At 39.0% G+C, this 24,208-nt stretch overlaps 1 protein-coding gene across 2 annotated transcripts in view, besides 2 other annotated features; it reads left to right on the forward strand.

Moving 5' to 3' along the window:
- Positions 1-24,208, forward strand: part of PLPPR1 (phospholipid phosphatase related 1) — a 296,409-nt gene that overhangs the window by 229,074 nt on the left and 43,127 nt on the right. For both annotated transcript variants that reach the window (NM_207299.2, NM_017753.3), the window contains exon 3: positions 12,080-12,268. In NM_207299.2, the coding sequence (NP_997182.1) occupies positions 12,080-12,268 (189 nt within the window). The remainder of the gene's footprint in view (positions 1-12,079; positions 12,269-24,208) is intronic.
- Positions 11,494-12,231: an enhancer, noted in NCBI's record as "H3K4me1 hESC enhancer chr9:104031576-104032313 (GRCh37/hg19 assembly coordinates)". NCBI's record gives its function as "activates a minimal SCP1, AML or CMV promoter by ChIP-STARR-seq in naive H9 embryonic stem cells {active_cell/tissue: H9 hESC(naive)}" and the evidence as "EXISTENCE:reporter gene assay evidence [ECO:0000049][PMID:30033119]".
- Positions 12,232-12,968: an enhancer, noted in NCBI's record as "NANOG-H3K4me1 hESC enhancer chr9:104032314-104033050 (GRCh37/hg19 assembly coordinates)". NCBI's record gives its function as "activates a minimal SCP1, AML or CMV promoter by ChIP-STARR-seq in naive H9 embryonic stem cells {active_cell/tissue: H9 hESC(naive)}" and the evidence as "EXISTENCE:reporter gene assay evidence [ECO:0000049][PMID:30033119]".

The raw sequence follows: 24,208 nt of genomic DNA on the forward strand, positions 1-24,208 counted from the left end.
ACTTCTTTTGTTGGGCTAAAATCCTATTTTTTTTTAGATTAAGTGGATTAATCTATTTTTAAATCCTTAAGTAAGTTATCTTTATTTTGGACTTACAACATCATACATTAGGGTTTTAATGTGGATATTATTATAGCATGAACAGGCCAACAAAATTAATTATAAAAGTTTTCTTTACTCTTCTGTCTAGGTTTAAGACTCAAAATGACTGTTAGAACAAGGGAAAGGCTAAAAGCCACACGTTAGGCAGAAAGTTAAACCAGTCTTCCCAAAGCCAGTTCAGTACTCATTTTTGTACAATGCCTAAAGCTGCACAAGTAGTTAATGGTCAATCTAGTACTGCATCCAGGTCTTAAAATTCCGAAGGCCATACATTTCTATTACACCATGACAGCCAGCTCAAATGTCACTGCTGCCACATACTTCTCTCTCAGAGTTAATATTCACTTCTTGATGTCATTGTGGTGTCTGTCCATCCTTCCTTCCATCTTTCTCAGCCACTCATCTATCCATCTGTTAAGGTATAACCAATTGTGTTATAACACTGATAATATGGTCACATCATCATATCCTTGAAAAGCTAAGAACTTCATCTTTATATTTCTCTCATCCCTCTGAGGGGCTTGGCACATGATTGGTGTGTAGCAGGAGTTTGCTGACTTCTATTGTTTTACCAGAGAGACCTCAAGTTAGCACCAAAATCAGTTTAGTTTAACGAAAGATATAGCGGAACTATAAAATTTTAGACCATAGAGATCCTTGATGGATTGCATCTATCCCCTGTCCCTCCCTTAAACAAGTGAATAAATAAGTAAAATGCACAAGTCATCCATGACCTTCTATTCACAGAATTCTCTTGGCTCGTCCTCTCACCACTGTCACTTTCTCATGCATAGCATGTGTATTCAGCTCTGCCCTTTCCCTTCTTTGAGGCAGCCCTGGGAAAGACCAGAGCTCTTGAGCCTCTCAGGCTCGAGTTCTATGCCTTTTGCTCTACTGATCCTTGCAATTATTGACTATCAGAAACTTGCTGTAGGATTTTATATTTATCCCAAATGTCAGAATCATTTTGAATTTTTAATCTTGCTTTCTCTGATATTAGCTATGCCTGCCAGTTTTGTATCACTATACGTTTAACATTCTTCTATGTATTCATCCATGTCATTGAATTAAAAAATCCCTAGCAGCAAAAGATCAAAGAGAAAATTTTGTAGCCCAATTTAGTTTAAGTTATACCAAATATTTATCCCTTCCTTGATGTAGTTGTAAATCTACTTAGTAATATTATTATATGCTCTACATTTCTCCATATCATCCACCTATAAACAACCACTGAGACACTGGAGGAAGGAAGTACTAAATGAAGACAAGGATGTAGTATTTGTATTTATTCTTCAAGGAGTGGCCAAGTAAGAAGGTGAAGGCAGCCCAAGAAGAGAGGTAGACCTATGTATTCTCCGCTAACTAAGAGGCCATGCCTGATGGGATTTGCTGGCTTGGACTCTATTCGAATGGTAGGCTGCTTCTATCCATTACCAAAAAATATGGGCAGGACAAAGGCCAGTGTGTTCAATGCAGAGAAAATTGCTGGATTTACCTAGAATAGCTGTGTCTTAATCTGGGCTGCAATAGCAAATTGTAATAGACTAGGAAGCATAAACAACCATATAGCTTGCTGTTTTGAAAACTGGGAAGCCAAGATCAAAGAGCCAGCAGATTCACTGTCTAGTGAGGGCCCTCTTGCTGGTTTGCAGGTAGCTACTGTGAACCCCATACATCTAAGACAGGTCTGAATTTAGAAAGTTTATCCAAGGTTAAAGAGACATGCCTATGATATAGCCTGAGGAGGTCCTGATGACATGTGCCCTAGGTGGTCAGGACACAGCTTGGTTTTATACATTTTAGAAGACATGAGACATCAATTAATATATGTAAGTTGTACATTGGTTCAGTCCAGAAAGGCGGGACAACTTGAAGCAGGGAGGGGGCTTCCAGGTCACAGGTAGATAAGAGACAAATGGTTGCATTCTTTTGAGTTTCTGGTTAGCCTTTCCAGAGGAAGCAATCGGATATGCATTTATCTCAGTCAGCAGGGGGATGACTTTGAGTTCTGTCTGTCCTTTGTCCACAAGGCAATTCCTTGTGAGGGAGGCATGGAGCTTTTTAATCGTTTTTTAGAAATGGAATGAGAGACAGGTTTTCCCTAAGAAGTTCCCAGCTTGACTTTTCCCTTTGGCTTAGTGATTTTGGGGTCCCAAGATTCATTTTAGTTTCATACTGCCTCCTTGCTATAACCTCACTGAGGCCAGGAGAGAGAGATCAGCTCTCTCATGTCTCCTAAGAACACTAATCCTATTCATGAGACTGGGACCCCACCTCCAAATACCATCACATTGGGGATTTAGGCTTTGAAATATGAATTTGGGGAGAACACAAAAATTCAGCCCATACAAAGTAATCACTGAAGATTTTGGAGGAGTATACAGATATAATCATAGCTATACCTTAGGATGGTTAACTCTTTAGCAGCAGGGTAAATGATGGCACGGAGAGGTTGAGATCCCAAAGGCAGCAAAAGCAGGTTGGACAAGATTTCAAAAGTGCAGGTGAGAGAATGTGGAAGCCTGAAGGTGGCAGTGGCAGTTTGCATAAATGAGATAAATGTAAGGAGACCCTTCAGTAAGACTTTGGCAACTGACCAGGTATGGCGTGAAGAGAAAGCTAGGGGAAGGAGGAGTCTAAGATGACACTGAGATTTCTAGCCTGTGTAACTGAGAGAATGGTCGTTGGATTTACCAGGATAGGGAACTCAAGAGAAGCTGCAGCCTGGGGAGAGGAGAAATAATGAGTTCCAGTTTAGACTTGTGGCATTTGGAGTACCTATGGAACACATCAAGTTGGTGGTCAGGAGAAAACCCAGAGCTACAAATGATGATAGGAGAGTCAATGGAATCAATATAAGAATGGAAGCCACGAAAAGAGATGAGATCTCCCTAGAAGAGAACATAGAAAGAAAATGACAAAGGGGTTAAAGATAGATCCTGGGTGGGTACCACCATTTATAGACCAGGCTGAAGAAAAGGGAAAATTAAAGCAACAATGTTTTCAGATAGTTAAGAAAGAAGAATGGAGGAAGAGGAGACCTCAGTCAACCTCTACTATCACCCCAAAGTAAAAAAGCACTGAAAAGGAAGAGCAAATAGAAATTTAAAAGCAAGAAAAAGAGCTGAGTACTTATCAAGTGCCAGGCATTGTACTAAGCTTTTTATATACATCATGTCATTGTGTTAATTGCAGGTTTTCAGTGTAAAAAGAACAGTTAAATGGCTCCAGAGGTTCAGATTGAGGTAACTCATTATACCTCACAGAGTAGTGTTAAGTATCATGTAAGATAATATATTTAAAGTTACATAGCTGATTACATGGGCAATCAGTAAGAGTCATTATTATTATTTCTTTGGACTTACTTTTATAATATCTGTCTTCCCTGACAGAAAACCCCATGAGTCCAAAGACCATGGCTATTTTAACATTTTTGTTGCTCAGTTTTTTTAACTAAGTATTATTGATGTCTGTGTATAGTAGACACTCAATATTAGTTGAATGACTGGATGATCACATTTCGTCTACATATCCTTGCCTGTGGGCACCTCTTTAGTCCTTAAAGAAGAGGGGATGAATTCTCATATACACACTGGTACATTTGAAGTCCCTCAGTTTTCACAAGAGGATGTCCTTCTTAACCACACTTTAATTGCTTTAATTAAAAGATATAGGTCTGTCATGGAATCAACCTAAATGCTCAACAATGATAGACTGGATAAATAAACTGTGGAACACATACACCATGGAATAGTATGCATCCATAAAAAAGAATGAGATCATGTCCTTCGCCGGAACATGGATAGAGCTGGAGGCCATTATCCTTAGCAAACTAACACAGACACAGAAAACCAAATACTGCATGTTCTGACTTATAAGTGAGACCTAAATGATAACACATCGACACATAGAGGGGAACAATGCACACTAGAACCTACTGGAGGGCAGAGGATCAGGAAAAATAATGGATACTAGACTTTATACCTACGTGATGAAATAATCTGTACAACAAACCCCCATGACACACATTTACCTATGTAACAAACCCGTACATCCTGCACATATACCCCTGAACTTAAAAGTTAAAAAAAAAAAGATATAGCTCTGTATTTAACTAACTGGAGACTTACTAGAAAAATAGTCTCTAATTCACTGCTGCCCATTAGTTTTTAGAAACTAAACTGAGAAAAACTATACCAAGGAAGGAGTCTTGAAAGATACACAGTCTATCTACTCTTCTAGGAAACTATTTTTGTTGAGTCAGACACTGCTCTAAGTACTTGTTACACAGTCTCATTTAATCTTCATGATAATCTGAAGCATTAGGTACTATAGTATTATTAACCCAGTTTTTCAAATGAAGGCACGAAAATTTAGACCACACACCTAGTAGGCAGCACAGCTGGTTTCCAACCTAGGCAATCTGTCCTGTACTCTTAACCTTTCATTATGCTGTCTCTCTCAAGTTCAACTGCAGCTGAATCATAATGCCTACCTCTTCCATTCTATTTCAGAGTCTTGTTTTTGTGAGTTTTGCTTATATGAAACCTATATTAAGTTGATATGAGGTCTCATATTAAGAACAGTATCATCAGGAAACAATAGATACTGGAGAAGATGTGGAGAAATAGGAATGCTTTTACACTGTTGGTGGGAGTATAAATTAGTTCAACCATTGTGGAAGACAGTGTGGTGATTCCTCAAGGATCTAGAACCAGAAATACCATTTGAGCCAGCAATCCCATTACTGGGTATATACCCAAAGGATTATAAATCATTCTACTATAAAGATACATGCCCATGTATGTTTATTGCAGCACTGTTCACAATAGCAAAGACTTGGAACCAACCCAAATGCCCATCAATGATAGACTGGATAAAGAAATTGTGGCACATATATACCATGAAATACTATGCAGCCATAAAAAGGGATGAGTTCATGTCCTTTGCAAGGACATGGATGAAGCAGGAAACCATCATTCTCAGCAAACTAACACAAGAACAGAAAACCAAACAATGCATATTCTCACTCATAAGTGGGAGTTGAAAAATGAGAACACCTGGACACAGGGAGTGGAACATCGCACACCAGGGCCTGTCAGTGGGTAGGGGCCTGGGGGAGGGATAGCATTAGGAGAAATACCTAATGTACATGACAGGTTGATGGGTTCAGCAAACCACCACGGCACATGTATACCTATGTAACAAACCCGGACATTCTGCACATGTATCCCAGAACTTAAAGTATAATTTAAAAAAAGAAAAATTTTAAAAAAATAACAGCACCATGATACTCACCACTGAATCATTGTTTATCCTGTTACGTTGTTTACAAGAACCCAAAGGAAGAACTCCTGTCTGGTCACTATACCAGAAGTATTCTGCTTATCCTTTAACCATTGGTTTGCTTTTGATCTTATAGATATTGACCACCATTTCCTTATTGCATTGACTGTTAGACAATTTAGAATGAAGCATGTAATTCCTGCCTCTATTTTATATCACCATATTTATTTCCTTCCTGCTTCCATTCCAACTTCTTGCTGATGCTAGCTTACTTTATTTGATGAAAGCTGATTTTTGGAACAAAATAGGAATACATAAACACACCTCACTGCATTTTTGTGAGACGATTATTAACCTTCATATAGATGAGAAAACTGACACTTGGAAACATTTAAAGTGTCCAAGTATGTAACATAGTTTAGTTCTTAATATTCTGCTGACTTATATTTGTAACCTGACTTTCCCCTAGGCCACACAAATTTGAGTGGAGAGAGATATTTATAGTAATCATCCAAGGTTTACTCCTGTGAGCTCTGTGACCTCATGCAATCTGTCTGTGCCTGTTTCCTCAAATGTAAAATGGAAATAATAATGTACTTACCACCCACCATGGTTGGGCAGATGAAGAGTTAATTTACGTAAGGTGTTTAAAACAGTTCCTGGGACATGCACAATATAACATTATCATCTCTGTCTCCTTCTCCTTTTCTTCCTCCCTCTCTTCTTCCTTCTCTCTCCTTCCTCCACCTCCTTGGCTCTTGTGTCTGTTGTATATGGAGGACCTCCATCCCCTCTCAGGGGGTCAAACTTATTTCTAAGGCTCCCCAGTGAGGTCTCATGGGGGCTGTCAATTTATGTGCTTCCCCTCTAGCCTACTACATTGGTTTCCAGTTCTGTGAATGCTACTTGAGGGTTTCCCACCCCAGCCCTTGTGTGCAACTATTGACATTTGTGACTAGGATGCTTTTTCCCAATACCAAAAAACATCCAAATCCTTAAAGTGTGCTATTCCCTGGTGTCCTGGCTAAGACATTGCTTTCATGTCACAACCGTGTCAGTTCTTACCACCTAAGCTCTGATGTCATACTCCCTCTGCCCAACATTTCCTTTATCCCCTCGCTTTATGGAATTGAATATCTATATTGATGGAGCTGGGCCAAAACCAATACCCTAAGCAGACACCACACAGCCCTCTCCTTCCCCATGCATCCTCTTCTCCCTCATGCAATATCCCCCCTTCCATTGTTCTCCTTCTATCAAGTCCCCTCCCAACCAGTTCACCAGGCACCTGCAGCCACGCATAACTCCCACTGGGGATCAGCAGACAACCTCCTACAGAAGACTTGTTGTTCCTTGTGTTGGTGGGCATGCCCCAGGTAGATTACAAATTACATGGGGTTGGAGAGCATGTCTGAGAATTCCTCACCTTCACAGCACTTAGACTGAGTTCAGAGGCAGCTCACAAGAAGAGTTGCTGATTGACTAGCTTTGATAGCTCATGGCCGAACCAGAATGAGAAACTTCTTTGGGGACAGATATATTGTCTCTGGTTTGTCTGTGCTTGGTTCATTGTTTGTGTTTAGTCACCCCAGATTGCTCAGGGCCATCCTAGTTTTAGCCCTGAAAGTCCTGTGCCCCAGGAAGCCCCTCAGCCCTGAACAAACTGGATTGTTGATCACCTAGCACTAGGATGCCCTTTACACTTCAGACAAGATGCTTCATGTATACTCTCATTCCAAACTCTTGCCTCTGTCCTACTGCCCTGGACACACAGGCTTACATGAGTCACACCATCATTATCTGATTCCCTGTTTCCCCAGCTTGTATCAGGACATATAAATTATTGGTCCACAGTTCCTCCAGACTTAACAGCCTGTTGGAAAAGGTTCTCATCCTCTTCTCTCAGCTTTGTGACCTTCACAATTATTGCTCTTCTTGACATTTTTACTTTTCTTTAACCAGCAAAGGGCCTTGGTAGAAACACAGTGCTTTTAACCACAGGAAGCTGAATTTCAGATATTGCTGGATTCTGCCTTCTGAAGCCTCGTGGAATGATCAGCACTTAATGCATTTTTTACTGCTATATTGGATTGTCATTCTTGGAAAGCAACAGCTGAGGAAAGTCCCTGGTACATGAGCTCCTTACACCTTGTTATACTCCCACAGCCATAATTGCTTCTTTCACACTGACATCTTCAACCCTTCCACCAGTACTTGCACCCAGCATGGCCTCACCATCTGCTCATGTGACACCAACATTATGGCCTCCCTCCATGCATTCCTAAATGGAGCTGAGGAAGGCAACAGAGATAGCAAGTGTGCCAGCTGGCACCAGTGACATAAACATAGACAGTGATAAATCATATCTCAGGACAGGGAGGAAGAAAGGAGTATGCTGATGGCTAATTGTGTGGCATCATCAGTGCAGTGAGATGGATCTCTCTGCTCATGGAGACAGAATCAATGTGTGTTGTTTCTGTTCCTGCAGTATGTGCATCAGTTTCCTTTAAAAATATGGTCACAGGAGGCCGGGTACGGTGGCTCAAGCCTGTAATCCCAGCACTTTGGGAGGCTGAGGCAGGCGGATCACGAGGTCAGAAGTTCGAGGCCAGCCTGGCCAACATAGTGAAACCCCGTCTCTACTAAAAATACAAAAAATTAGCTGGGTGCGGTGGTGTGCGCCTGTAATCCCAGCTACTCAGGAGGCTGAGGCAGGAGAATTGTGTGAACCTGGGAGGCAGAGGTTGCAGTGAGCCGAGATTGTGCCATTGCACACCAGCCTGGGCGACAGTGCGAGACACCGCCTCAAAAAAAAAAGGTCACAGGAGAATGTTCAATAGAAAATCAACTAGAAATCAAAATCTGAGTTGTTCTATTTCTGCTTCTGTGCATCTCTAAATAGCATTATTGGGGGACTTCCCAGGGAGTTTGAGGATTGCTTGAAAATGACAGGGAAGGCCGGGCGCGGTGGCTCACGCCTGTAATCCCAACACTTTGGGAGGCTGAGATGGATGGATCACTCGAGGTCAAGAGTTTGAGACCAGCCTGGTCAACATGATGAAACCTTGTCTCTACTAAAAATACAAAAAATTAGCCAGGCGTGATGGCATGCACCTGTAATCCCAGCTACCGGGAAAGCGGAGGTTGCAGTGAGCCGAGATCCTGCCACTGCACTCCAGCCTGGAAGACAGAATGAGACCCTGTCTCCAAAAAAAAAAAGAAAGAAAGAAAGAAAGAAATAAAGAAAAAGAAAATTACAAGGAAGAGTTTCTGGCTTCTGGCTGCTCGGGGGAAGAGCCAAGGCAAGCCAATTCATGCTCGTGGTGGGTGGTCAGTTCTGTCACATAAGCTGCTGAAGCTCCCACCTACCACTACCACCCTTTGGGTCTCCAAGGTTCTCTGTTCTTTATGTCCTGCAAATTTTTATAAACTTTTAATTTATCCAGTTCTCTCTGAATGCTGCTTCCGGGATTAAATCAGCTAGGCAACTATTCAAGATTTGTTCTATAGATCTCAAATTTAGGCATGTAATGCTTTCTTTGTTGTTAGATCTTCATTTATTTCAGTGTATTTGGTGTTAAGATAGTTCTGTTTTAAGAGCTTCCATTCCTTGTGTTTGTCTTGAGTTCTTTTCCTATGTATAAGTTTTTGCTTTCATTTACCTCATTTTCACTTTTTTTTAGAAAAAGGAAGTGGTAGCACAAAGATACCCATAAAATACAATCCTCTTCCTACGAAAGAGGAAGCTAGATGTCATTTTGATTTTTATTTTTTTATCCAGAAGCCCCCATAGATCTTGCCTATTCCCATTCAGGTATCTCCCAAGAGCTGATGAAGCCAAGAGAGACAAAATTGTTTCCAGCCACATGGATGAGACACATGACACACACAAAAATCCCAGATCAGCCCTTTGCAGGGGGACAGACGGAACTCCAGAGACAGAGCCTTAAAACTGTTGGAAGCCTGGTGTTATTTCATCTTCAAAACATCAAGTCAACTGGCTATGTTCCTTGCCATCAGGTCAACTCACTTAACAAGTCAAGCATAAAAGAAACAGTAACTTCATAGCTTTGATTTTATAAACTAGCTGCAATCAGGAGCACCTATTAGTAGGGGTAGCTTTGGAGTATCTCTCTCAATCTTTCAGGAAACATATTTATCCAAGTCTCTTCTCTGTTGCTATAAGGAAAATAAATAAACCAATTACTTCAAACAGCAGAGAAGGCTGGCATAAAGGTTGGTGATTTACATGTGGCCCCAATAAACAACTCCAAGCATGGAAAAACACATGGAAGTGTCCAGAGATTACTGGACAGTCCAAAGTTGTGATTGGAGATCCACATCTCTGGGAGCAGAAAACGCTAGATACTAGAAGAATGTAATCCATAAACAGTCAGAAACAAGTCATGTGTAAGGGCTAGTGAATGAAGAGATGGTTTGTGGCCTAATTGGAATAAAAGGAAAGGTAGCAATGGATGTAGCTAAAAGGTAAACACCTTTAGATAAGATGGTTAGAAATTTGTACTTGAAGCTGGGTGCAGTGGCTCATGCCTGTATAATCCTAGCACTTTGGAAGGCCGAGGTGGGTGGATCATTTGAATTAAGAATCTTCCCTGTCCTTCCAATTTCTCCTCTTTTGATGCCTTTCCTCTTTGGTATCTCTGTTATAATGTGTCTCAAGTACAAACTTCTGTCTGGTTTTGTTTTGTTTTGGAGACAGAGTCTCTATGCAGCCATAAAAAATGATGAGTTCATGTCCTTTGTAGGGACATGGATGAAGCTGGAAACCATCATTCTCAGCAAACTATCGCCAGGACGAAAAACCAAACACCACATGTTCTCACTCATAGGTGAGAATTGAACAATGAGAACACTTGGACACAGGAAGGGGAACATCACACACCGGGGCCTGTTGTGGGTAGGGGAGGGGGGAGAGATAGCATTAGGAGATATACCTAATGTAAATGATGAATTAATGAGTGCAGCACACCAACATGGCACATGTATATATATGTAACAAACCTGCACATTGTGCACATGTACCCTAAAGTAAAATAAAAATATACATAAAAAAAATAAAATCTTTGATGTGAAAAAAAAAAAGAAAAAAGAAAATGATGCTAATCTGCTACTGTATGGAAGAGTTGCAGAATTACTATCCCAGAAGTAGAGGCTGTGCTGGTTCCAGAGAATGGTTTATAGTGGGGCAGAGGGTAAAGGCTGTGCTTCAATGCTGTGGCTAAAGCAATGGATAGGAAAATGGATGAGGATGCCAAAAATTGCCTCTCTGTGCTAGAGTTTAGCTACTTTGCCTCCCCCATCACTCTCTACCTTTTCGTATAAGATGCAGTTTTAGATCCTGATACAGCTCAGCTTTTGCTTTTTTCCTACAGATCAGGAAATGTGGGTTTCTAGTCCTGGCTTTCACACTAACCAGCTGTGTGGCCTTGGATTAGTCATTCTGGGGCTGAAATAAGAACTTTAGTCTTCTTAAGCCCTGAAAAGATTATGATTTCCCTTTACTGCCTTATATGTACTTCAAAATACAAACAACTTTAAGCCATAGATATCTAAAGATGTCCTACCAAGTTCTGATTTTTTTTCATAACTTTGATACCTTTAAACAAATCAACATTTAAAAATATATTTTCTTCATTTTAGTTTGCCTGTTTTGTTAATGCTCAATCTAAGCACATGTTTAGTTTAATTTTTGGATAATCAGGCAGTGGTCAGTTCCACTTTCCTCATCTATGAAATAAAGGTGTCAGACAGGAAGAACTCTAAGATATCCCCCAGCTTAAGTTTCTGTAATTTCATGACCTCAAATGTATTTTCTATCTACCTTTATTCACCATCTTATCTTGGCATTGGTGATTTCCAAATATGAATGGAAAAACATGTTACATTTCCATATCCCCTCAGTTCCACATACCTGCTAAAAACTATATCTAAACTTCGGTGAGTATCTAGGACATCTGAGTCAAAACAAAAGGATAACTGTGTCTTTTTTTTTTTATGTCTGTCTAAATCTTACGAAGGCTATATTTCTATAATAAGATACGATCATCAGCAAAGTCCTTGACTTACTGGCAGAAACCATTTTGGAAAAAGATAAAAGTTATGACTGATGTAGAATACCTGCCAATAACTTAGGGTGTCGAAATTTCCCTTAACCCATCTAGGATTTAGCTTTCCTGTTAATTTCTTCATTTGTCCATTCCTTCGTTTACTCGTGGTTTACCTACCTTTCATATTTCATAAGGTAAGTCTACCTGTAATATTATATGAAATTGCTCATGAACAGTTCTCACATCTATGTCTTGACAACTCTTTTGCCACTGCCTTTTGACTTTTCACCTCTGTCCTAAATGGCTATAGTGCCTTGGTTCCCGTGCATACTCTGAGACTCTGAAAGGGTGGCAGCAGGGGCTGAAGCTCTCTACAAGCCTGGCTGGGATCTGCCTTTCAGATGGGAGCTGCTCATTATTTGCTGGAAGGTTTATAGAACAGATGTTACAAGGCAGACAAGCAAGCACACACTCCCAGAGCACGCTGCGCCTGGCACGCACACACTCGCCAATACCAATATCAGGAGAGCCGCTGCTGGGGTGATGGAGGGAGTGTGCTCTGAGGGGCAAGGGCTGCTCCGAAGCCCTGCTAATGTCTCTGTGTGGCCATGCTGTATTTTCAGCTTGTCATCATGGCTGGGACAGTGCTGCTTGCCTACTACTTCGAATGCACTGACACTTTTCAGGTGCATATCCAAGGATTCTTCTGTCAGGACGGAGACTTAATGAAGCCTTACCCAGGGACAGAGGAAGAAAGCTTCATCACCCCTCTGGTGCTCTATTGTGTGCTGGCTGCCACCCCAACTGCTATTGTAAGTACAGAAATAGACTTTCCTCTTTATTGTCAGATACCCAAGAATATTTTCTGTCTGCTTTTTCTCCTCTTTCTTCTCTTCCTGAGCATTCACCAGCAGTTTTATCAGTGGCATCCTATTTCAGCCAAAACAGAGTGAATGGAGCTCTGCAGAAAAACTCATTAACATAGGTCTTGTCTTGTATGGGTGGCTTTTGTTTTTCGGTATCTGAATTTTAAAAAGATGTTTTTTTTTAAAAAGCATGTGAGAATGTTATAAATCAACAGGTATGATTGGCTAATGTGTTAAGAACAGCTATTGTCCTCTTGAAAAAATATGCTATGAGTTGCAAGTATTCACAAGAGATTCTGAATGTAAGTGCTGGCACTGATATAATGGCTGAGATTAGAGTAGAATAGAATCCCTCAGGCCGATATTTCCTGCTGTTCTCATTGAACTTCCGTAGACACCAGAGATGAGAGAAATTGCTTAACCTGAAGTTTGCTGTGATTCATTCTTGATGGCTCTGGCTCTGTTCACATTACATCACATTAAATTAAGTTGCAACTTTACCTTCATATATTTCATTTTCCCTTTCATGAGGCAAAAAATGGGCCACACAGTCCTCTACAGAGATTGCTTAACAGCATAAAGTTTGCAGATCTGTGTTACCTGGTCAAGTGATTTAACACTTAGACATTTTAATTTTTATTTTTTAAAATGATATTTGGGGGAGTTTTAAATTAAGTGTTTCTGCCTAAATATGCCATAAGGTCAGATTAGTCAGGATGTGATCTTAGTTCCCATTCCCCTCCTTCTCTTCTAACAGCTGACTCCCTGAACGCTCCCTCCTCCCCTACCTGCCCTCTATTCGGCAGTAATAAAAATACTGACTGGCATGCCGAGGAATATAGCAATTGCTTAGATATTCAGTTCGAATATTAGTTTTTTGTGCCAATGTTTTGCTTGCTTTCAGATGAGAAATGGAATAGAATTTTGAAGATAAATAATATGGGCATAATAAATTCATTTGGCTCATTGACCCCAGGCTCTACAAAGCTCTCCCTTAAATGATAGGACTGTGCTGTAAGGACTAAGATCAGCATTGATGAGCCACAACATGATGTATCAGAAGGACTAAGAAACAAGCTTTGCTGCCTAACACACCTGGATTCACATCCTGACTTTGGGCAAGTCACCTCACTGTTCCCTCCCATACAAAATAAGGACAACTGAATGCTTACCTCATGCGTTGCTGTGGGGCTTAGAAATGACTTAGCGCAGTGCCTGGCATTTACGAAGTGTTCAGGAACAGGGAAACAAAAAACCTGGCTGGAACTGCTCTTTGCCCTCTTTGGAATCACAGACCAACTTCCTACTTCTGAAAGGAATGAAATTCCACTGAGAACCCTCATTAAGACCTCTTCTCTCCAATTCTAGAGTGAAGGGAGATATGCCCATTCCTCAGAGGAAGGGTAATCTCTGTATGTCTCTTACCAGCCTACAGAATAAGAGAAAGCATACAGGACACCTTTCCATGTACCTCACAATGTGACACACTCCACACCCCACGTAAAACTAGGAGGCCAGACTCGGTTCTGTCTGGTATGGTTTCATGGTGGCTCTACCTGGAGGCTGTGGGCTCAGTCTAGAATTGGGTCCTGGTTTCTTCCTGTCTCATAAGCATATCGCTTTCCTGTGTATTCAGACAGGCATCCCTGAGTGATCCATTGACTTACTGACATATTTCCTCTCTTCTTCCCAGTCTCAGGAAATTTCATTTATCGTTGCCTAGGTTCTCCTTTAGTTACTTTTTATAATTATAGAGATTGTTTTACATTTTAAAAAAATATAAAAAAGGGAAGGAAATGGATTAATAAAAATTGTGGCAGAAAGTTAGTCAGAAAATAGAATTAATAAATTAAATGTACATCTGCCTGGCTAGTCTATAATAGAAAGTCAGACATACAAATACAGTTAAGAAAACATATACTTAAAAATGAAAATATAAACTTAAGACTTATTTAAGTTGTATATACAATTCTGTGCCAATAAATGCTTACATCTCAATAAAATTGAAAACTCTATGAAGATATTTACTAGTGATGCCTTATATCAAATTTTTTAAAAGATGTAGCAAAGCTGAATATATGAATGCCAACAGAATAAAATTTTAAACATGCCAAAATATTTCTCAAAAAATAGTACTCAGGACACACAGCTGTGGAATAATTTTCCTCAAACATTTGAGGAATAAGAAATCTCAAACAATATAAAATGTTTCAAGGCCTTTTCATAAATGAAAAACTTTTCCGTGCATATTACAAACAAGAAAAATATGTATGTAAAGCGCTTAGAAAGTGAGTCCACATAAATACCCACAAAAGCACTCTGAATAGTAACAATAACTCACTTAGCAGTGTTGATGCAAGCATATAAAAACAAACTGGTAGATTTGCCTACCTAAGAATAAAAATTTCCATCAGAAGTAAAGACTGCAAAAAAGTTTGCCACATAGGAGACTCAAATGTAAATACCCTTAATACTTAAAAAGATGAGCTTCCCAAAATCAAAATGAGAGAGGACAAGAATAGACAACTAACAACCAGCAATCAATAGACTGTGTGCATATAAGTATTTCTAAATTCATCACTAACCAAAGAAAAATCATTTTTTAAAGGATACAGCATTTTTCTCATATAAAATTGGCAAATGTTTTCAAAGAACTTAGTCTATGTTTACAAAATGTAGAGACTTTCATGTAATTCTAGTCAAAGCATAAACCAATATTTTCTTTCTGAAGAGCAGTTTGTTAAAGATGTATTAAGAGCTTAATAAACTTCAGACCCAGTCATTAATTACATTTTCTAGATTTATAAAAATACAAAGATTTGTATATAGGGATGTTCATGTCAGTAATAGTTTTAATAATTAGAAACTAGGAACTAGCTAAATACACAATACCAGACTGGTTTAATACATTATGTGCCAGCCATGTTTTTGAAACACCTTAAGTAATGATGGAACATGTTTGTAATTTAATATTAGGATTTTTTAAGGCCAAAAAATTGTATGCAGTATTGTGGGTAAGATCTTTTTCTCTTCTGTAAGAGAATCTGACCTCACAATTTTCTGCCTGTTTCCCCTAGAAAAAGATAATATGTATCAATTATGTCACCAGGTAAAATTGAGCCCTTATTGGTGAATTGCATCTGTTCTCAGATAACTGTTATGACCTGAGAGAGTGCTTCTGCTATGACTTCCAATAACAGTGACTCTGGTAACTTGGCATATCTATTGTGGATCCCCGGAAACTATGCCTATGGAGTTGTTACACCATATATTGACTCCTACAGGGCATGTGGCTTTTCAGCCAGGGTAATTCCTGCATCCTCTGAAATGTATGTAGCCCCCATTCACCTGAGCTGTATTGTTCTGCTGGACCACTGCAAGGACATGTGCTAAAGATAAGCAGGCAATGCTACCCTGCCGGCAAGCTGTGGTTTCTTCCAAGTGGACCAGCACCAAATGTAGTCTGTGGATCTGAATATTTAACATATCCTAAGAAGATACATTGTGGATGTTGCAAGTATAATCCCAAATTTATAATTATAAAAGGAATAGAAAGAAAGTAAACATTTTCAACTATTATTTCTGAATGGTAATGTTAGTTTTTGTTCTTCATTTATACTTTTATATATTTCTTTCCAAATTCTACATGAATGTATATTGGTTTTAAACCAAAGACATACCTCTAAAACAAATTATATAGTCCATTTCTTTTGGCAATAATTACAAAATGACCAAACTTTAATAAGACTTGAAAATGGCAATTCTAATAAAAACATACATCACCAAAACTTTACAAAGAATTTTCTCTCCTCTCAGAGTAAAAGTGATAGGTCTTCTTTATTTTAAGATTTTCAGCAGAAGCTCTTCTCCAGGCTACAGCTTTTGATCTTATCTCTTCCATTAATTCATTTTCCCCAAATGACACAAATTGAAATGTAGTACAACTGCTCCCATGGAAGTCAATGTGATTTGGTCAGTGGACAGAGCATTAAGCACCTACAGTTCTACTCTAGTTCTCGATTATGAAACCCCGATTCAGCTTTTTCATTCCTTTGATAATACTGACAAACCCCCCAAATATATTACATAAATGATGGTCACAAGAATAACATCTTTTAATATACTTATATTCTGCAGACATGGCCTAATTTATCCTCAGAACAGCCAAAGAACATAGAGAAAGTGTGTGGTCCAATTTCTTTCATTTTGAGTTGAGACTGTTGAGACTCAAGTAGGTTAGATGATTTGCTGAAGGTTCCACCTGGTTCTGTACATGATTAGACAGCCACCCATTTGGTTCCACTTATTTTCCTCGCAAATGAGGGGCATTGGTAGGAACCAGGGCTGATTGCAGCTGATAGGTCAATGGCAAAGAGCAGCGTGGCCTTGCTACCCTGCTAATGGCGCTTGATTTTCCCTCAAGACCTAAAAATACATGAGCAGCAGCAAGACAGAAAACAGAAGACCTTTTCTGATAATGCTCAGGGAAGTTTCATGGGAACAGTTTCCTGGGAACAAGGAGTTGCATTCACTTCTCCTGTCCTATCCTGGTGAGGTATGACCTGTTGCAGCTCCCAAGTGCCCACCTCAGCACACACTCCTGCTTCTGAGTATGCATCCTCCACTCTCCTCACAATGCAGTCATCTTTTCCCAGGTTTAATAAGACTAGAGAGGCAGGTCTCATGTCACAGCTTTGCCCCCAGTAACTGTGTGACCTCTGATAAGCCATGTTCCTTCTGTGGGTTCAGTTTCCTCATCTGTACCCAAAAGAAATGGTTAGGCTAAATGATCTCTAAGCACCTGCCAGTTCTCAGATTCCATGAAAACTGAAAAATGAACATTCTCATCAGAAGCTAACATTTGGAGGCTTCCAAACTCCCAAATCATGACTCTCTTTCTGGAGTTTGATTTTGCACCTCTGTGCCGGATTAAGTGTTTCACAGAACTGCACAGTTGTTTATTCCTTCTTAAAACCATTTCCTGTTCTCTATGGAGTATAATGAAGCGTGACGCCTCTTGGGTGATCTGTGAGACACTAACTAACATCAAATCTCAAAAGTGTAGCTCAATGTGGACTTGTCTGTCCTTGGTTTTCTGTGCTCCCTCAAGCACATTGACCATGGAAGAACCTAGCACCCTGCACTGCTGCGCGTCTGCAGATGTGCACTAATGACCCCATTCACAATTGCAGGGATGCACAAGAAATGCTTGAGGGGAAAGACTCTGCTGTATATTCAACCTGTCATTTCCTATTTCTCCTTTTGTGCTTTGCTGTCAGAAAAGATCAGCATCATATTGAGACACGGCCACATGGGATAAATCGCAAAAGGCCAAGGCCACTGCTGTCCCAGATCTTCAGGAAAGGTTAGAGCATGGGGGATTTACTGTGTCCCCGTTTAGCCCAAAGTGGCAGTCTATGCTTGAAAGAAATCTGCAGGGTATGTTCTGACCACCTGGAAACCCTGGCTAACTACTGCCTCAGGCCTTCTGAATAAACTCATACACTCAGAGTCAAAGGAAGAGAGCCTGTTTGGATAAGAGGATTTACTCAGCAGAGAATCTGATTTACCCTCATTTTATCTCAGCCCCAGCAGCACAAGGCATGAAAAAAATGGCTATTAAACCTTTTTTCTTGGCTTCACAATGAAGTGACAGGGGAGTATTTAGTATTGAAGTAGCAGAACATGACTTCCAGCCCGAGGATTGAAATAGCTCACATTTTGTATGCAAGTGTGCGCGCATGCATTACAAGACTCATCTAGAATTTCCTAGGAAAGGAAGAGACAAACACAACTTGATAGAAAGGCACAATTTGGAGAAAATTGTGAATCTTCATTTGGGGGTTTCTGGGCCGTAAGCTCTTCCAGCAAATGTAAAAACCCAGAGCACAGTGCAGATCACAAAGTGGGCTCTCAATAATGCAAGCCTGTTGGCTGGCTGACGAGGGGTGCAGCTGCCGAAGCAAAGGAGACATTGTAGGGTCTTGTACTTCCTCATAATCTGCCTTTTCCAGGCTCTGAACAACCTCATCTGTTGAAACTCTTTATAACATTTTATAATTCACATCTTTTTTCCCTTTTGTACATTATCACATGACTTCCTTTTTTAAAAAAAAATTCACAACATTTTCTTTGTTGCTAATATATTCAGTGTTTATAATTTACATTTTTCTGGAAAAAATTTCTAGATATGCCCATTAATTATTGTGGATTTTTTAAAAAACTTAAATCCATTTTCTCATTTTCTGTCCATACTGCAGATGACTGCTCCAAATCTCCTTTAGAGATTGTTTTTCTCCTGACATCATGCCACCAAGAGATATGCTTTCCATCTTCAATATACCCCTCCTAATAATTGATGACTAGATGATTATGTTAAGGAACTTGACAATTTGTTTCTTGGAGAGAATATTGTTTGCCTAAAAATATGTGATTTTCAATGCATTTTACTTTTTACTCTATTTTTACTTCAATGCATTTTACTTTTTACTGAAAGTAGTATTTTAGCTAACTCATTTAAAATTCCCATTTCTCTTGTATTCACTGTTCAGATAAAAAGATATAAGAGAACACTATGCTTTGGAAATATGATACCGCCCTGGTGCTCTATTTTATATCAAGTGCCACCTAAAGACACCTTCTGAACGGGTGGATGTGGCCTCTGGAGTAAGACCAGTAGAGAGGCTCCAGTTTACAAAAACACTTATTATCCCATTTACTGAACTCTTTTCAGAATCATCCAAACAGCCTTGGTTCCATTTAAGCCTTGAGCTTTGAAACGCATAGGAAGTGTCTAGAGCTGAATTGCATCATTTACACCTAAGAGCTCTTGAACTAGCCAAAGTTCTGCAAGTAAGGGGACAGGAAGCTCTCTGCAGGTCTGGGGTTATCAATGTGACAGCACTCATCAGGAAAGATTAAAGTGGAGCATGGAGACATTGGCAGTTAGGGCTAGCAGCAGGGTCTATAGGTTGAAAATCTCCTGGGTAACTTTTAAACAAAATCTAAAACAAAAACCATTTCTGCCTTCTTGGAGATGTTTATTACTATTGAAGCCTCCCAGGGAGAATATTAGAAGTATCTAAAAATCCGTAAGACTGAGAGCCCTGAAACTACTTAGAGACTAATATTGGGGAGTATATAAAGAACTCTCTCCTCTTCCTCAGAGTGTTAGAATATCTAGAGTGTGGGCAAAATCTGATCACCAGCCTCTGCTGTCCTTTAACAACCCAAAGTGACAGAGATATCAGCAAATGTGATGACTTGGGGTAGGCTGTGTCTACTTTGCTTTCAGGGAAGGTTACTTGGTAAGGGTGAAGGCCCATGGGATTGTAGAAGGAAATGATGGCTGAAGGAAGAAGCAATGCAAGAAATCACGCTGGCCTTGGAGAGCTTAACTGACTGAACTGCGATTGAAGCCCAGTTACATGATTTCAGTTTCCCTTAACGAGCCCTCTCTTTTTGGCTCCTATCATAATGGCAAAGATGTTGGAGCTAAAAAAGCACCTTAGGGATCCTGTAGTAAAACTTCTTCATTTGACAGATGAGAAACTGACACCCAAAGAGGTCAAGCAACTAGTCCAAAATTAAACACCTGGTTAGGGCAGAGTCGAGCTAGAATTACACTATATTTCCTTACTCCAGGACTGGGCACAATGATTTCTTTCTCCTGTTTCAACACACATTCTTGCCTGGGTAGACCAGCAAGTACAAACAGAAAACATAGGACATATATATATGCTTTTACATTCACTTTTTAATCCTCTCAACAACTATGTAATACAGTCACTACTTTCATATTCAAATCATTAGAAAAAGAAAAACTGAACCTCAAAAAGTTTCCATTAGTTACCCAAAATCACACATCAATAAAGGAGAGAGCTGAGATTTCAACTCCAAAGCCCGCATTCAGGAAACAGCAAAAACTTTGATATCACCCAGTACTAGAGCCACAACTAGCATATGTATGACCACAAAATATGTATTCTGGGAATTCTAAATGCCCTTTTAAATTGCAACCACATATAACATGCAGTGAAATTTCCTTAAAATACAAAATTATAATACATCTTTCAGTGACTAGTTTTTTCCACAGACTGTTTATATTCTGAAATCTAAAAACTTCCTCTAAACTTTTTGTATTGATATCAGTTATTTATTGCGTACCACATGTTTTTTAAAATATTTGTGAAGAAGAGGGATGGAGCAAGTTGGTGGAATAGTGCTATCCAGTAATCATACCCCCTCCAACTGAAACAACTTGAGCAGCTATCCATGCGCTAAAATAGTAATACCTTCACAAGAGCTAAGTAAACCAGGCGAGAGATCAGAGTAACTGGTTGGAACACAATAATAATAAAAGATGCATTGAAAATGGTAGAAAGGAGAATTTTACATTACCTGCACCACCCCTCCCCCAACCATCACAACATTGAGAGAGACACCATCCACTTGGGGGAAAGAGAGGGGTGTGAGAACAGGACTTTGCCTTGGACCCCAACCCTGGGCCCACCACAGCGAAATCCAGCATCAGGCAGGCTGGCAGGCACCCACAGCCCCAGACTCCAGAGTAGTATCCACAAACTGAGTCCCAGTCCTGGGTGGGACCCTGCAGTCCCAGACTTCAAGCCTGTGAGGCAGAGTTGGTCTCCCAGTTGTACTACCGCTGGCTTGACTTCAGTGTCTATAGGATCTGGACAGGCCAGAGCAGCAGGCAGGCCTCAGCAGCCCCAGGTTTTGGGCATACCCCACCCCTGTAGTGACCCTGCGATTCAGAACCAAGCTTAATGGCCTGTCCAAAATCTCTGAATGGACTGTTGAAGAGCTTTTCCAGCAAAGCCAATCTGCAAAGACTGGAATAAGTACCTACTTCTACAAATGTGTATATCTCAATACGCAGCCCCAAGAACAATCAGTAAAACATGATATCACCAAAGGGACAAAATAAAATGCTGCTAACTGACCATAAAGAAATAGAGATGTTCGAACTCACTGACAAGGAATTCAAAATAACTGTTTTTAAGGAAGCTCAATGAACTTCAAGAAAATACAGAAAAACAATACAAGTAAATGAGGAAAACAGTAAGTGAGCACAATGAGAAATTTAACATTATATTTAGCATTATATAATTATAAAGGGATTAATTCAGCAAGAGAATGTAACAATTGTAAATACATATGCACCCAGCACTGGGGCATGCAGATATACAAAGCAAAAAATTATTAGAGCCAGAGAGATAGACCTCAATGCAAAAATAGCTGGTGATTTCAACACCCCACTTTCAGCATTGGACAGATAGTTCAGACAGAAAATCAATAAAGGAACATTGATCTTAATCTGTAGTATAGACCAAATGGACTTGATATTTATAAAACATTTCATCCAGTGGGAACACAATACACATTCTCCTCCTCAGCACATAGATTATTCTCAAGGACAGGTAATATCTTAGGACATTAAAAAGTCTTAAATTCAAAAAATAGTCATATCAAGTATATTCTCTGACCACAATGGAATAAAACTAATAATCAATAAGAGGAATGTTGGAAACTATACACACACATGGAAATTAAACAATACGTTCCTGAATGATCAGTGGATCAATGAATAAGAAAGAAGTTAAGAAATATTATGAGTCAAATGAAAATAGAAACACAACATACCAAAGTGGATGGAATCAAGCAAAAGCAGTACTAAGAGGGAATTTTATAGCAATAAACTCCTACAGCAAAAAGGTAGAAAAACATCAAACAAACAACATAATGATGCATCTGAAAGAACTAGAAAAACAAGGGCAAACCAAACCCAAATTATGCAAAGAAATAATAAAGATCAGAGCAGAAATAAATGAAATTTATAAAACAATACAAAAGATCGATTAAATGAAAAGTTGGTTTTTTGAAAGGATAACTGACAAACAGTTAGCCAGACCAAGACGAAAAGAGATGACTCAAACAAATAAAATCAGAGATGAAAAAAGAGACATTGCAACTGATACCACAGAAATTAGAAGGATCCTTAGAGACTACTATGAGCAGCTATATGTCAATAAATTGCAAAACCTAGAGAAAATAGATAAACTCTAGACATATACAACTTACCAAGATTGAGCCATGAGGAAATCCAAAACTTGAATAGATCAATAACAAGTAATAAGATCAAAGTCATAGTAAAAAGCTTCTCAGCAAAGAAAAGCCCAGGACCTGATGGTTTCACTATTGAATTTTACCAAACATTTAAAGAAGAACTAATACCAATTTTACTCAAACTATTCTGCAAAATAGAGGAGCAAAGAATACTTCCAAACTTATTATATGAGGCCAGTATTGCCCTTATATCAAAACCAGACAAAGACACATCAAAAAAAGGAAAAGTACAGGCCAATATCCCTAATGAACATGGTTGCAAAAATCTTCAACAGAATACTAGCAACAACACATTAAAAAGATCATTTATCATGGCCAAGTGGGATTTATCCCAGGGATGCAAGGATGGTTCAACATATGCAAATCAATCAATGTGATACATCATATCAGAATGAAGAAAAAAATTATCATTTCCATTAATGCTGAAAAAAGTATTTGATAAAATTCAGCATCCTTTCATAATTAAAAACCCTCATAAAACGGAGTATAGAAGGAACATACCTCAACACAATAAATGCCATATAAAACAGACCCACAGCTAGTAACATACTGAATGGGCAAAAACTGAAAGCCTTTCCTCTAAGATCTGGAACATGATAAGGAAGCCCACTTTCACCACTGTTATTCAATATAGGACTGGAAGTGCTAGCTAGAGCAATCAGACAAAAGAAAGAAAGAAGGAACATCCAAATTGGACAGGAAGTCAAATTATCCTTCCTTGCAGACTATATGATCTTATATTTGGAAAAACCTAAAGACTCCACCAAAAAAAACCTATTAGAACTGATACATAAATTCAATAAAATTTCAGGATACAAAATGAACAAACAAAAAAATGGTAGCATTTCTATATGCCAACAATGAACAATCTGAAAAAGAAATCAAGAAAATAATCCCATTTACAATAGCTACAAATAAAATACCTAGGAATAAACTTAATCAAATAAGTGAAAGAGCTCTACAATGAAACTATAAAATACTGATCAAAAAATTGAGGACACAAAAAATTAAAAGACATTTCATGTTTGTGGATTAGAAGAATATTGTTAAAATGCCCATACTACCAAAAGTGATCCACAGATTCAGTGCAATTCCTATAAAAATACCAACGATGTTCTTCAAAAAAATAGAAAAGAAATAATTCTGACATTTATATGACATCACAAAAGACCCAGAATAGCCAAAGCTATCTTGAGCAAAAAACAAAACTGGAGGAATCATATTACCTGACTTCAAATCATACTACAGAGCTATAATAACCAATACAGCATGGTGCTGCCATGAAAACAGACACCTAAACCAATGGAACAGAATAGAGAACCCAGAAATTAATAAAATAAGAATAAATAGAGACTAGAAAAACAATAGAGAAGAACAAAATGAAGAGTTGCTTTTTTGAAAAGATAGACTAAATTGATAAACCTTTAGACAAGAAAAAAGAGAAGATTCAAAGATTCAAAATCAGAGATGAGAAAGGAAACATTACAACTGACACTACAGAAATACAAAGGATCATATTAGACTATTATGAACAATGATACACCAACAAATTGGATAGCCTAGAAGAAACAGGTAAGTTTCTGGAAACACACACCCTACCCAAGATTAAATCATGAAGAAATAGAAATTCCAAACAAACTAGGTGATTGAATCAATAATATACAGTCCCCCAGCAAAGAAAAGCCCAGGAGCTGACAGCTTTGCTGCTGAATTCTACCAAAAATTTAAAGTAAAACTGAT

This window comes from Homo sapiens, chromosome 9 (assembly GCF_000001405.40).
Source record: "Homo sapiens chromosome 9, GRCh38.p14 Primary Assembly".
NCBI classification, from domain to species: domain Eukaryota; kingdom Metazoa; phylum Chordata; class Mammalia; order Primates; family Hominidae; genus Homo; species Homo sapiens.